The sequence below is a fragment of the Homo sapiens genome, chromosome 2 (genome assembly GCF_000001405.40).
Source record: "Homo sapiens chromosome 2, GRCh38.p14 Primary Assembly".
In the NCBI taxonomy this organism is placed as follows: domain Eukaryota; kingdom Metazoa; phylum Chordata; class Mammalia; order Primates; family Hominidae; genus Homo; species Homo sapiens.
In genome coordinates, this window is record NC_000002.12 from 200570353 (window position 1) to 200584754 (window position 14402).

At 34.0% G+C, this 14402-nt stretch overlaps 1 protein-coding gene across 10 annotated transcripts in view; it reads left to right on the forward strand.

Moving 5' to 3' along the window:
- Nucleotides 1-13744, forward strand: part of SGO2 (shugoshin 2) — a 57955-nt gene extending 44211 nt beyond the window's left edge. For 6 of the 10 annotated variants that reach the window (XM_017003452.3, XM_005246345.5, XM_005246344.5 and 3 more), the window contains 3 exons: nt 698-3625; nt 4959-5109; nt 13097-13744. In XM_017003452.3, the coding sequence (XP_016858941.1) occupies nt 698-3625; nt 4959-5109; nt 13097-13112 (3095 nt within the window). In that variant the 3' untranslated portion in view covers nt 13113-13744. Of the gene's footprint in view, nt 1-697; nt 3626-4958; nt 5110-10182; nt 10317-13096 lie in introns of those variants that run through there. The other 4 variants (XM_017003454.3, XM_047443502.1, NM_001160046.1 and 1 more) reach the window with 2 other exon arrangements.
- Nucleotides 13745-14402: the final 658 nt, after the last annotated feature.

Sequence of the window (14402 nt, forward strand, 5' to 3'; positions counted from 1 at the left end):
GTATTCCTAAATGATAATCTGTGGTGTAGTCTGGTGCTTACAGATTTGCCATAGATTTTCAGACTGGGATATGGAACTATAACAATTTTGAATTTAGAGCTTAGAATTGTTTTTCCTTTCTGAAAATGTGTGTGTGTGTGTGTGTGTGTGTGTGTGTGGGCATATGTATATGTATATAATATATACACACACACATATATACACACATATATATGGTATACATATAATGTATACAGTATACATATATACATGTGTGTATATATTTACACACATACAAACATATATTAATATATGTATATATAATTTATATAAATTTTAGCTGCCTGTTGATAGTCTTTGATAGCAATCCTTTTCAGAGCTATCACTATTATTTGGGTTCATTTGCTGGCCTCCTTTCACTCTAGAAATGTATGCTAATGGTTCTACTGTTGGCTGTACTCCACTCTACTGTTGGGGCTGAGGCAGAATTCTCAGTATATATTTTCTGTAGATACAAATGTAAAATGTGATTTAGGAGTATTCATCATTTCTAACTTATTTTCTTATAAGCATAGATTCTTAGTAATATTAGGATCTGATCAGAACACATTGTCAGAAATTATATCTGTGAAACAGCTTGATTTCGAATCTAATTTGTTTAAGGTAACTTATTTATTTCATTACTTGTTTCTGAGTTTTGTTTTCCTTTTCTTAATAGAAAGCCATTCCCACTCAGACCAAAGTTCTAAGACTTCTCTAATGAGTGAGATGAGAAACGCCCAGTCTATTGGCCGCAGATGGGAGAAACCATCTCCTAGTAATGTGACTGAAAGGAAGAAGCGTGGGTCATCTTGGGAATCAAATAATCTTTCTGCAGACACTCCCTGTGCAACAGTTTTAGATAAACAACACATTTCAAGTCCAGAATTAAATTGCAATAATGAGATAAATGGTCATACTAATGAAACAAATACTGAAATGCAAAGAAATAAACAGGATCTTCCTGGCTTATCTTCTGAGTCTGCCAGAGAACCTAATGCAGAGTGCATGAATCAAATTGAGGATAATGATGACTTTCAATTGCAGAAAACTGTGTATGATGCTGACATGGATTTAACTGCTAGTGAAGTCAGCAAAATTGTCACAGTCTCAACAGGCATTAAAAAGAAAAGTAATAAAAAAACAAATGAACATGGAATGAAAACTTTCAGAAAAGTGAAAGATTCCAGCTCTGAAAAAAAGAGAGAAAGATCAAAGAGACAGTTTAAAAATAGTTCAGATGTCGATATTGGGGAAAAGATTGAAAACAGGACAGAAAGATCTGATGTCCTGGATGGCAAAAGGGGTGCAGAAGATCCCGGTTTTATTTTCAATAATGAACAGCTGGCTCAGATGAATGAACAGCTGGCTCAGGTGAATGAACTAAAGAAAATGACCCTTCAAACTGGCTTTGAACAAGGTGACAGAGAAAATGTACTGTGTAATAAAAAGGAGAAAAGAATAACAAATGAGCAAGAGGAAACATACTCTTTATCCCAAAGTTCAGGTAAATTTCACCAGGAGAGTAAATTTGATAAGGGTCAGAATTCCCTAACTTGTAATAAAAGTAAAGCTTCTAGACAGACATTTGTGATTCACAAATTAGAAAAAGATAACTTACTCCCAAACCAAAAGGATAAAGTAACCATTTATGAAAACCTAGACGTCACAAATGAATTTCACACAGCCAATCTTTCCACCAAAGATAATGGAAATTTATGTGATTATGGGACCCACAATATATTGGATTTGAAAAAGTATGTCACTGATATTCAACCCTCAGAGCAAAATGAATCAAACATTAATAAGCTTAGAAAGAAAGTAAACCGGAAGACAGAAATAATTTCTGGAATGAACCACATGTATGAGGATAATGATAAAGATGTGGTGCATGGCCTAAAAAAAGGTAATTTTTTTTTCAAAACCCAAGAGGATAAAGAACCTATCTCTGAAAACATAGAAGTTTCCAAAGAGCTTCAAATCCCAGCTCTTTCTACTAGAGATAATGAAAATCAATGTGACTATAGGACCCAGAATGTGTTGGGTTTGCAAAAGCAGATCACCAATATGTACCCCGTTCAGCAAAATGAATCAAAAGTTAATAAGAAGCTTAGGCAGAAAGTAAATCGGAAGACAGAAATAATTTCTGAAGTGAATCATTTAGATAATGACAAAAGTATAGAATACACAGTTAAAAGTCACTCACTCTTTTTAACGCAAAAAGATAAGGAAATCATCCCTGGAAACCTAGAAGACCCAAGTGAGTTTGAAACACCTGCTCTTTCTACCAAAGATAGTGGAAACCTGTATGATTCTGAGATTCAAAATGTTTTGGGGGTGAAACATGGCCATGATATGCAACCTGCTTGTCAAAATGATTCAAAAATAGGTAAGAAGCCTAGACTAAATGTATGTCAAAAGTCAGAAATAATTCCTGAAACCAACCAAATATATGAGAATGATAACAAAGGTGTACATGACCTAGAAAAAGATAACTTCTTCTCTCTAACCCCAAAGGATAAAGAAACAATTTCTGAAAATCTACAAGTCACAAATGAATTTCAAACAGTTGATCTTCTCATCAAAGATAATGGAAATTTATGTGATTATGACACCCAGAATATATTGGAGTTGAAAAAGTATGTTACTGATAGGAAATCTGCTGAGCAAAATGAATCAAAAATAAATAAGCTCAGGAATAAAGTGAATTGGAAGACAGAAATAATTTCTGAAATGAACCAGATATATGAGGATAATGATAAAGATGCACATGTCCAAGAAAGCTATACAAAAGATCTTGATTTTAAAGTAAATAAATCTAAACAAAAACTTGAATGCCAAGACATTATCAATAAACACTATATGGAAGTCAACAGTAATGAAAAGGAAAGTTGTGATCAAATTTTAGATTCCTACAAAGTAGTTAAAAAACGTAAGAAAGAATCATCATGCAAGGCAAAGAACATTTTGACAAAAGCTAAGAACAAACTTGCTTCACAGTTAACAGAATCTTCACAGACATCTATCTCCTTAGAATCTGATTTAAAACATATTACTAGTGAAGCAGATTCTGATCCAGGAAACCCAGTTGAACTATGTAAGACTCAGAAGCAAAGCACTACCACTTTGAATAAAAAAGATCTCCCTTTTGTGGAAGAAATAAAAGAAGGAGAGTGTCAGGTTAAAAAGGTAAATAAAATGACATCTAAGTCAAAGAAAAGGAAGACCTCCATAGATCCTTCTCCAGAGAGCCATGAAGTAATGGAAAGAATACTTGACAGCGTTCAGGGAAAGTCTACTGTATCTGAACAAGCTGATAAGGAAAACAATTTGGAGAATGAGAAAATGGTCAAAAATAAGCCAGACTTTTACACAAAGGCATTTAGATCTTTGTCTGAGATACATTCACCTAACATACAAGATTCTTCCTTTGACAGTGTTCGTGAAGGTTTAGTACCTTTGAGCGTTTCTTCTGGTAAAAATGTGATAATAAAAGAAAATTTTGCCTTGGAGTGCTCCCCAGCCTTTCAAGTAAGTGATGATGAGCATGAGAAGATGAACAAGATGAAATTTAAAGTCAACCGGAGAACCCAAAAATCAGGAATAGGTAGGTTAATAACCATTATGAAATGATAAAGTTTTAGAAGTGTTTTGTTTTTTGTTTTCGTTTTTTACTTAGCCAGTGAAGTATTTTCTAACTGGTATTTTTATGGAATTTAAAAACAATATATAACTGAGTACATGATCCATAGAAATAGCATGAAGGAATAAAGAAAGTTTCATACTTTGGGAAATAACAGTGAGAGTATCTTGGACATTTACAACTATAAATGGATTTGGCCTTTACCACAAACTTGTCTAATAAAGACCATAGGCAAATAATTTGCTTTTTCATACATCTGAAGGAAATTGAATGTTTTAAATGTATATAATAATGAATTGTACTGGTTTTTATTTTACTGAAGACAGTTGCATGTTTCTTGAGAGTGAGACTCTTTCCCCATTCAACAACGTATATTTAATGTGATCAAACCCTTCTAGATATTATAGAGGACTGAAAAATAAACAATACCAACCCCCTTTCCTCAGATTCCATGTATGTAACAAACATCATGGTGAAATGGAATAAACGATTCTTTAAGCACATGTATTATGCTAAGGGATATAATGGGGAGTAATTTTGACTAGAGGAATCTTCAAACGCATCCTTAAATAGGTAGCATTTTAGGCCCTAAAGGATAAGTAAGATTTTTACCTGTAGTATTTACTTTTTATTTTTTTCCCAGTTATTAAAATAGTACTCATTGCAAAAAAATCAAAAGTAGAGAGTCAGAAAAAGGGAGGGGGAAAAAATCACCTGGGAGAACTTTAGTCCATTTACCATGTGCATGCAGACCCAAATCTATGGAATTTTAAATATATATTTCTTTTGCCATTAGAAATTTTGTAATATTAAACATTCCTATACCAATTAAAAATTTTTACTGGGAGCCTATTATTTCAATATATGTGTGTAGATCCCTAAGGTTTTGGCGGGTAAGTCAATTCCAGGTAAAAGCACACTGAAGCAAAAGAATTACAAAGGTTTAGAGTTGCAGGATTTGTTAGAAGACTGGTGAGACATTTTTTATCTTTGTGCTCCTCATGGTGCCTTACACAGAGTGAGTGATCAATGGCATATATGTTGAATGAACTGTAATTTGTGTGCTTCCATGAAAAGAGTTGAACTAGGATGAACTTTGGGAGCCATATGTGATTTCAGAATGAAAAAGTTATAGGCTACTTTGACAGTTTGTTTCAAATGTTAGTCTCTTTCCTCTCAAAATTGAATCAAGATTTAAAATTTGCTGTGGTGATTTGCAGACCACTATATAGCTCATATCTATTTGTATCTCTATATACTTTTTAAAATATTTGTGAAAAATAATATTCTTTTTCAGGTGATAGACCATTACAGGACTTGTCAAATACCAGTTTTGTTTCAAATAACACTGCTGAATCTGAAAATAAGTCAGAAGATCTATCTTCAGAACGGACAAGCAGAAGAAGAAGGTGTACTCCTTTCTATTTTAAAGAGCCAAGCCTCAGAGAGTAAGTATTTCAAATGATTTTAGTATGCCATTATAAAATATATCCTTAAAAAAATTTCTGCCTGAATTAGTATTTGAGCACTTCTGATAATTCAATAAAATGTATATTATTGATATGTAACAACCACAGTATGATTTGGGTAAGAGTTGAAGAAATATGTCCTTTGGACAGGCTATTTTTGGGGGGTTGGAGAATTGTCTGGATTTAAATTGATTTGCTTTTGGTTAGTTCCCAGTTCTACTACTGTCATATTTTAAATTGTAGCCTGATACTTATAATTTTTAAAATTTGTGGCCTGTGATTTGCAAGCCATTTTTGTTACCCCATTTGTTTATTTCCTACCTTGTTCCCTAGAAGTCAAAGTGGTTTATGTGTCCTTTACTCTCAAAGAATAACAGTCCTTTCTCTTTATTTTTGTAAATTTCAAACATACCCCAACAAAGAGAATAGTGCCCTCCTCCAATTTATCCATTCCTCAGGTTCAACAGTTATAACACTTTGTCGAATTTGCTTCATGTATCCTTTTTGTTGTATTTTAGAGTCTCAAATATTGAGTCATTTAATTCTTAAAACACTTCGATATATCTCTCTCTAAAAAGTAAGAACTTAAAGTTCTTAGCAAAACTAGACAACAATGATCACATCTAACAAAAAAGAATGATTCTCATGGGTATTTTAAAGCAATAACCAGCAGATGGCAGTAATATAAGGCAGGGTAAAAGAAAATTAAAAGTGAAATTAAGGACCAAGGGGCCTTTTTTTTTTCTTTTTTCTTTTTTTTTTAAACAGCTATTGAGAGATATAATTCACACAATTTAAACTGTACAATTTAGACCAGATGTGGTGGCTCACACCTGTAATCCCAGCACTGTGGGAGGCTGAGGCAGGTGGATTGCATGAGGCCAGGAGTTCAAGACCAGCCTGGCCAACATGGTGAAACCCCATCTCTACTAAAAATGCAAAAAGTAGCTGGGCATGGTGGCGTGCGCCTGTAGTCCCAGCTGCTCGGGAGGCTGAGGCAGGAGAATCACCTTGAATTCGGAGGCAGATGTTGCAGTGAGCTGAGATTATACCACTGCACTCCAACCTGGGTGACAGCGTGAAACTGTCTCAAAAAAGAAAAAAAAAGTATGCAATATTCTGGTTTTTAGTATATTCATCAATATGTGCAACCATTACCAGAGTCAATTTTAGAACATTTCTTTACTTAAAAAGAAACCCTGTACCCTTTAGTTATCACTTTCCTATCCTCCCAATTCTAGGCAACCACTAATCAACTTCTTGTCTCTCTAGATTTCCCTGTTCTAGACATTTCATATGAATGGAATAATAGAATATGTGGTCTTTGCAACTGGCTTCTTTCACCCAGCATGTTTTAAAGTTTCTTTCATATCATAGCATGTATCAGTATTTCAATTCATTTTTATGACTGGATAATATTCCATTGTGTAGATGTACCACATTTTGTTCATCCATTTGTTCTTTGATGGACAATTGGGTTGTTTTCATCTTTTGGCTATTATGAATATGCTACTATGAACATTCTTTTGCAAGGTTTTGTGTGTAAAGTATTGTTTTTTTTTTTTTCTTGGATATATCCCTAGGAGTGGAATTGCTGAGTCTGTTTAATTGTTTGAGGAACTGCCAAGCTGTTTCCAAAACTGCTGTACCATTTTACATGCTTACCAACGATGATGATTTTTAAAAATTTCTCTTTATCTTTACCAACACTTGTTTTTCTATGACTGATTCTAGCCGTCCTAGTGGGTATGAAGTGATATTGCATGGTGGTTTTGATTTGCAATCCCCTGATAACTAATGATGTTGAGCGTCTTTTCATGTGCTTACTGGCCATCTGTGTATCTTCCTGGAGAAATGCCTGTTGAGATCCTTTGCCCATTTTTCAGTTGGGTCATTTGCCTTTTAATGAGTTGTAAGTTAAACTTTATTTTGAACTAATTTTAGACTTATGGTAAAGTTGTAAAAATAATACAAAGGTTTCCCCTATGGTCCTCTCCCAGCATTCCTTAATTTTAATGTCTTATGTGCCCACAGTAAAATTATCAAAACTAAAGAATTAGCATTGGTACAATACTATTACCAAACTATAGACTTTCACTAACATCACTTTCTGTTTCAGAATTCTATCTGGAGTCCCACATTGCATTTAGTTGTTGTTTCTCCTAAGCATCCTCCAACCTATGACAGTTTTCAGTCTTTTTTTTTTTTTTCTGCCTTGGACACCTTTGAAGACTACTGGTCAGTTTATTTTGTAGAATATCTCTCAGTTTGGGTTTTCTGATATTTTCTCATGATTGCAATGCAGTTGTGCTTTTTTGGCAAATATTTCACAGAAATTATATGTCCTTCTTGCCTCATTTCAAGGCTTCATCATGTCAGTGTGTTTCATTACTAGTCATGTTAGCCTTGATTCCTTGGTTAAGGTGGTGTCTGTTGGGTTTTTTAACTGTGAAGTCACAATCTTTTCCTCTATTGTTAATGAACATGGGAGGGAGATACTTTGAGTCTATATATTCCATTTCTCAAACTTTCACCCACTAATTTTAGCATCCATTGGTGGATCTTGCCTGCAACAGTACTACTGTGGGTACTACTAGTAGTGATTTTTGATTTCTCCCTTTCCTTCTACATTAATTGGAATTCATCTGTAAGGAAGAGTTGTCTTTTCTATAGATATAGATATAGATATAGATATAGATATATATCGTGGGTATCTCTTTTGTTCTATAGATGAAAGTCCAATGCCATCAATATTTATCTTGTTGCTCAAGTTATTCCAACTTTGACCACTAAGAGTTCCTTCAGGTTGGCTTCCGTGTCCTTTTGACATGACTTCATACTATTTGGAGCACTTTCTTACTTTCTGACACACAGGATGTTCCAGTATGTCATAGTGGCTTAATCCTAGTGGCTTAAGTAGCAATCTGGATGCAGCTTAATTAGGTGCTCTGCTTAGGGTCTGACAAAGCTGCACTAAAGGTGTCGTCCAGGCTGGTTCTCATCTGGAGGCTGTGCTGGGGAAGAATCTGCTTCCAAGTCACACAGGTTGTTGGCAGAATTCATTTCCTTGTGGTTCTGGACAGAGGGCTTCATCTTCTTCTTGTTGACTAGAGGCTGTCCTTAGCTTCTTGCCACACGGCCTCCTTTACAGCATGGCCACTTACTTCAAAGCCAGCTGTGGAGAATCTCTAGAGCAAGTCCTGTAGCAGGATAGAGTCTTATATAACAAAATGTCATCTCGGAAGTGAGACATCTCATCACCTTTGCCAGTGGTCTCCTTGTTTATTGTAGAGGATCTATAGTATGTTTTAATGTCTGGTAGGGCTAGTATCCTCTCATGGTTTTTCTTTTTCATTGTTTCCCTCACTGTTCTTGAATGTTTGTTGTTACAAATGAATCTTAGGATGGTATTGACTTGTCTGGCTCGGTTTCATAACCTTGGCACTGTTGACCTTTGGGGCTAGGTATTTCTCTTTTATGGGAGGCTGTCCTGTGTATTGTAGGATGTTTAGCTGTATCCCTGACCTCCATCCACTAGATGTCAGTAGCACCCTCACATTTATAACAACCAAAAATGTCTCCATATGTTGCAAAATTTCAACTGGGAGGCAAAAGCATCCTGAGTTGAAAACCACTGGTCTATAAGTATTTAGTTTTCTTTGTTGCTATTATATATGGACATGTAACTGATGCCCAATGTTGTTCGTATATATGAAAGCTGTTGAATTCTGTGTCAGTTTATATCTTGTTACTTTCTGAACTCTGTTATTCTCTTATCTCACTGATTGTCTTGAGTTCTCCAGGTATAGTATGATATCATCTGAAAATAGAGATAGTTTTACTTCATTACCCTGTTTGTATGCCTCTTACTGTTTTTATATTAGCATTGGCTAATAACTCAGGTACAATGTTAAAATAGTAGCAGGAATAGTAGGCATGCTTGCCTTGTTCCTGATTTTAGTAGAAATGCTTCTGTTGAAGTATTTTTGTCTCTCCATTAAACAAGATACTTGCTGTAGGATTAAGATATGTACATAATTTACTAAGAAAATGCCCCTTGATGCCTATTGAGTGTTTTTATCATGAATGATTGTTGAATTTTGTCAAAGGCTTGTTCAGCATTTATGAAGATAGTAATATACTTCATTTACTTACATGTATTAACATGGCATCTGTTGATGAGTTTTCCAGTACCGAACTAACCTTGCTTTCCTGGAATAAATCTCACTTGATCACGGAGTATGTTTTTCATAATGTGATGTTGAATTGAGTTTGCCAAAATATTTTGTTTAGAATTTTTATATCAACATTCATAACTGATGTGAGTCTATAGTTACCCACCTTTGAATTGTCTTTATCTGGCCTAGGTATCATATTAAGGGAATCAAGAAAGTCACCATCTTGGTTCCTTTAATGAAATAATTTATATTTCATTATAATTTATAGTGCATTATAATTTATGTTTATAATTATTTGTATGTTATATACTTATATAATTTTAGAACAGTGGGACTCTCTGGTTTTTGTAAGTTTGTTAGCATCCCCCTCTGAAACCATCTGGACCTAGTACTGTTTTGTGTGGGATAGTTCCTTAATAACGTTGACTGTTTTTTGTGTGTATGAAAATTAGTCTGTTTAAGCTTTTTTGCTGTAATGGGGTCAATTTTTGTTATTTGTATTTCCACAGGAAATTATCCATTTCATCTAAGATTTCAAATTTATTTGCATAAAAGTCTGCAAAGTATCTTTTATGAATTAGACATGTAAATTAATTTTAAATCTTTTTTCCCATAATTATTTTACCTATATCATTTATTATTTTTTGTGTTTGTTCTTTTTCTCTTTTTCTTGATCAAATTAGGTAGTAGTTTATTTATTAACTTTTCCAAAAAATCAGTACTTTGATTTACTAATTGGATCTATTTTTCTGTTCTCTACTTCACTGACTTCTGCTTCATATTTATTATTTCCTTCTTTGTGTTTTCTTTGATTTACTTTATTATTGTTGTTTTCCCATTAAAATTTATTGTTTTTATTCTTTCATTTATATAGATAACAGTGTTTTATGGACAGGCACAGTGGCTCACACCTGTAATCCCAATACTTTGGGTGGCTGAGGTGAGAGGATCACTTGAGCCCAAGAGTCGGAGACCAGCCTGGGCAACACAGGGAGACGCTCACTCTACAAAAAATTTAAAAATCAGCCAGGCACATTGGCATGTGCTTGTAGTCCCAGCTGCTACTAGAGAGGCTGAGGTGGGAGGATAGTTTGGGCCTGGTAGGTCAAGGCTGCAGTGAGCCATGATTGTGCCACTGCACAGAGAAAGATCCTGACTCAAAAAATTAAAAATAAAAATAAGTAAATAGAACACACACAAAAAAATTTTTTTTTAAAGTGTCTTTTGCAATCAATTTTTCTCTGATCAGTGCTTTCAATGTATCTTGATTCTGATACATAGTGTTTTCAATGTCGTTTTTAAGTTTCTCCTTTTCTTTAGGAGTTATTAGGAGGTTTTAAAAATTCCAGGTAGATGAACCTTTCTGGTTTTTTGTTTTTATTTGTAAATCTAGTTTTATTGCATTTTGGTCAGAAATTATTTATTGTAATATTTCTGCTTTATGGAAATTGCCAGTATTTTCTTTGTGACCTACTATAGGATCAGCATTTATAACTGTGCTGTGATTGCTTAGATGTATATTCTCCATAATCAAGGTCTAAAGTTTGATATATATCCATGAGATTTACTGTATTTATTATGTTGCTTAGATCTTCTGTTTCTTATTTTTTGTAAATAAGTGATCTGTTTTGTACTAAGGTTATACTAAGAGTTGTATATTAAAATCTACTGTGTCCTGTGTTTCCATGTATCTCCTGTAGTTTTTGCTTCAGAAGGGTGGTTGCTCTGCTTTTTGCTATGTAAATATCATGATTATTACTTATTCATTTTGGATTATGGCCTTTATTATATTAAAAATGTCCTCATTTGTCATGTTCAGTGCTCTGGACTAAAGACTTAAAGTCTTTAAGATATAAAGACTTTAAAAACATATTTATGAGACCTTCCTGATAACTCCTACCACTCCTATCTTCAATACCTATGATGATCATTCCATAATAGCAAGCAGCTTTAATTAGGATGTACTTTCATGGGAGCTACTAGAAGCTGTGATATACCTAGTGTATACCATTTCCAATCCAAAAAGAAGGAAGAAAAAAAAGTGGCAACTGGATGGTCATCACTCGGAATTTATACTGAATGTTGTGGCTTTTGCTTTTAAAAATTTTACCAACTAAGCTGTATAGCAAATCATCTGCATGCACTGTACATTTAAACTAAAATAGAACCTTATTTCCTTACAGCATTTTGCTGTGTTTTATTTAGAATAGGTACTTCTTTTGAAAGGATTAATTAAACTCTATCTAATTACCCAAGGCAGTGGTATCACACTGGCTCTGAAGAGGAGTACGAAGGAGTGAAAGAGACCTTTCCACCTAATCTTGTATACCTTTTTAAATTTGGGACCATGTCTATGTATTTCATCTAAAAACCACATTTACACACATGCATGTAAAATATAACTAAACTCCATAACTTGAAACATGATGTATTAGGTGCAGGAATCTACCCTCTTACTGAAAAAATAAAATTATTGGGTAAAATACTAAAAAACATACCTTGAATGCATTTCTTAACTAATGACTATTAGCCAACCAACATTTCTTTTAGTAGGAAAGTAAGAAAAGCTCAGATCAAAGATCAAATGATAGCAGGAACTCAGAGGGGAACTGACCTTATCCTGAAGATATTTGTCTAACTAGGTGAACCTAAACATTGCATTCACAACCCTATGGGGCTAGGGACAGAAGACAAATCCTAGGGTTTATCCAAAATAAATAGTCTAATAGATCTTCTTCCATAAAGTTGATCTACTTTCTCAGTAAAAGAGCAAACTAAAAATAACCTCCCCACTAGCTTGCTCAGCCCCAGGAAATAACTTGGGTGCTGAATTAAGGAGGAAAAAAATCTTTCCTTAGAATTCATAACCAAAATACAGCCTTTATTGCAGATTATAGCTGGAATTCACAATATTTCGAAGGCAAAAAAAAAGTTAAGCTGAGGATTTAGTATAATTAGTGCATGAACTATAGTGCTCTGTTGTCTATTAGAAGCAAATATTTTGTAGGGAGTTGTCCATCTCACACCTCAACATGTTTTGCACAGCCAAAGTTCCAAGGAAAATGAAGGGCTACCTCATAGTAAAGAAAAACATTACATACACAGGGGAACAAGGTATCAGCAGAAACAGCAATCAGACACAGAATATAAAATGTTTAATGTTTCAATAAAGGAGAGGCTTGAAAATGAATGAAGATGTTGAGTGGAAAAAGTCACAGAAAAACACCTACAGTACGATTCCATTTATATAAAGATATCTATCAAACAGATAAAACCAAACAATATACTTTGTGGGAGAGCAATACACAAACGCTTAAAACAAAACTGTAAAGAAAGGAGTGATAATAGAATTCAGGATAGTGGTCCCTTTTTGGGGGAGGAGAGGGTTGTGATCAGAAAGGGGCATATTGGAGGTGTGGTAATATTTTGTTTCTTAACCTGGGTGTAGGAACATGAGCATTTACTTTGTTTTTAAATGGTATATTTTCACATGTTCTTGAACATATGCTAAATTTCTAACAAAAAGGAACTATGTAATAAACATGTAATATATAAAATCTATGTTGATTAATTTTTCTTAAATATTTGAAATGAATTATTTGAAGTACTCTGATAGTGAGAACTATAAGATTTAAGAAAAATTAGAGTATTTCAAGTATTTAACAAAGCTTATGGTTTAAGGAAACTTCTTTTCTACTGATATGATGAAACAATTTTCTTCTCCATGCTTCACAGCAAAAGCATTAATTTTGGGTTGTTATTAATCTTCCTTTTTTTCTACTTTGCAGCAAGATGAGAAGATGAAGTGAATTTATGGATTCTGGTTTTTCTGAATTTTCAAAGCATAAGGAATCAAAACAGAAATATAGTATCAAGAAGATGAAATGCTTAATGAAAAGGTTTTTTTTTTGTTTCTTTGGCCTTTCATGGAGTGTTGATTTGTCCATTCTTAATGTTTATTAATAGGTATATGTGCATAAAATAGCTATTTTGTAACATTAAACTTTTTGAGTCATTTTGGTCATCATATAACTTACCTTCCTGTTTATTTAAGCTTCTTTTTACCTAGTAGCCTTTAACCAAACAATAACCTTTTAACCAAATAAAATGTGTTAATAAATACCTTTGCATTGGTTATCTTGTATACTAGGCTGTCTTGTTTTGCTGTCTGTTTTTAACCCATTCAATATATGTGGACATCCAAAAGGGTTTAAAAGCCACCTCCTGCCCTGGCCCGTTTTCTCTCCCTTCATTCTTCTGTTTTCAGAAATACATGTTGAATGTCAGCTTCTGTATTATTTCTATTATATGTAATCTGATGACTTAGAGGAGGAGATTAACCTTTCAGGCTCTTTTGAATTTGGTTTTTATAATTTGGTTTTAAAGATCACTTACTCTTCCAGTAATAAGTAGTAATAAATCCTGTTCATATCTGAGATCAATACACAGTTTATTGAATTCAAATGACTACTCAAACTCTATTCCACCTAGATGGAAAACTTTTTTAGACAATATCTGACCACTAACGCGGTGGGCCCAGAAATCTGCATCTTAATCAGATGCTTCAGGTGAGTCCGTCCGAGGATTGTCCTAGTACCACACTTTGAGAGACTGCAGTGGGGGTACAGAGTGCTGGAGGGGTTTAGTCAATAGCTCTAGTGAAGGATGGATAGTTTTATTCAAAGAATCCCAGTTGATGAATGAAGAAGAAATGCTAGAATTAGAAAAATTGCAAACCCCTATTAAAACTACCGCTCAGGCAATGCTCAACAATGGATGTAAAACAATTAGGTGAAATGTTGATGGAGAAATTCATTACAAAGGAATAGCCCTCTGAACCCACTGATCAATGTTAGCATCATTACGAATGAAACAACCAGACACCATATGCTTCCTGCTGTGCTGCAATATTAATTATATGGTACCACCTATGAAGTGTTCTTGCCCTCTCCCCCCCAAAAAATTGAACCTGAATTTAATCAAAGCTTTAGATCTAATATTTAGTGCATAGGAAATAAGTAGAGTAGAAAAACAATACCAGGGAGAAGCAATTAGCCACATTCAAAAAATGGTTCATTTCAATAGAACAACTGA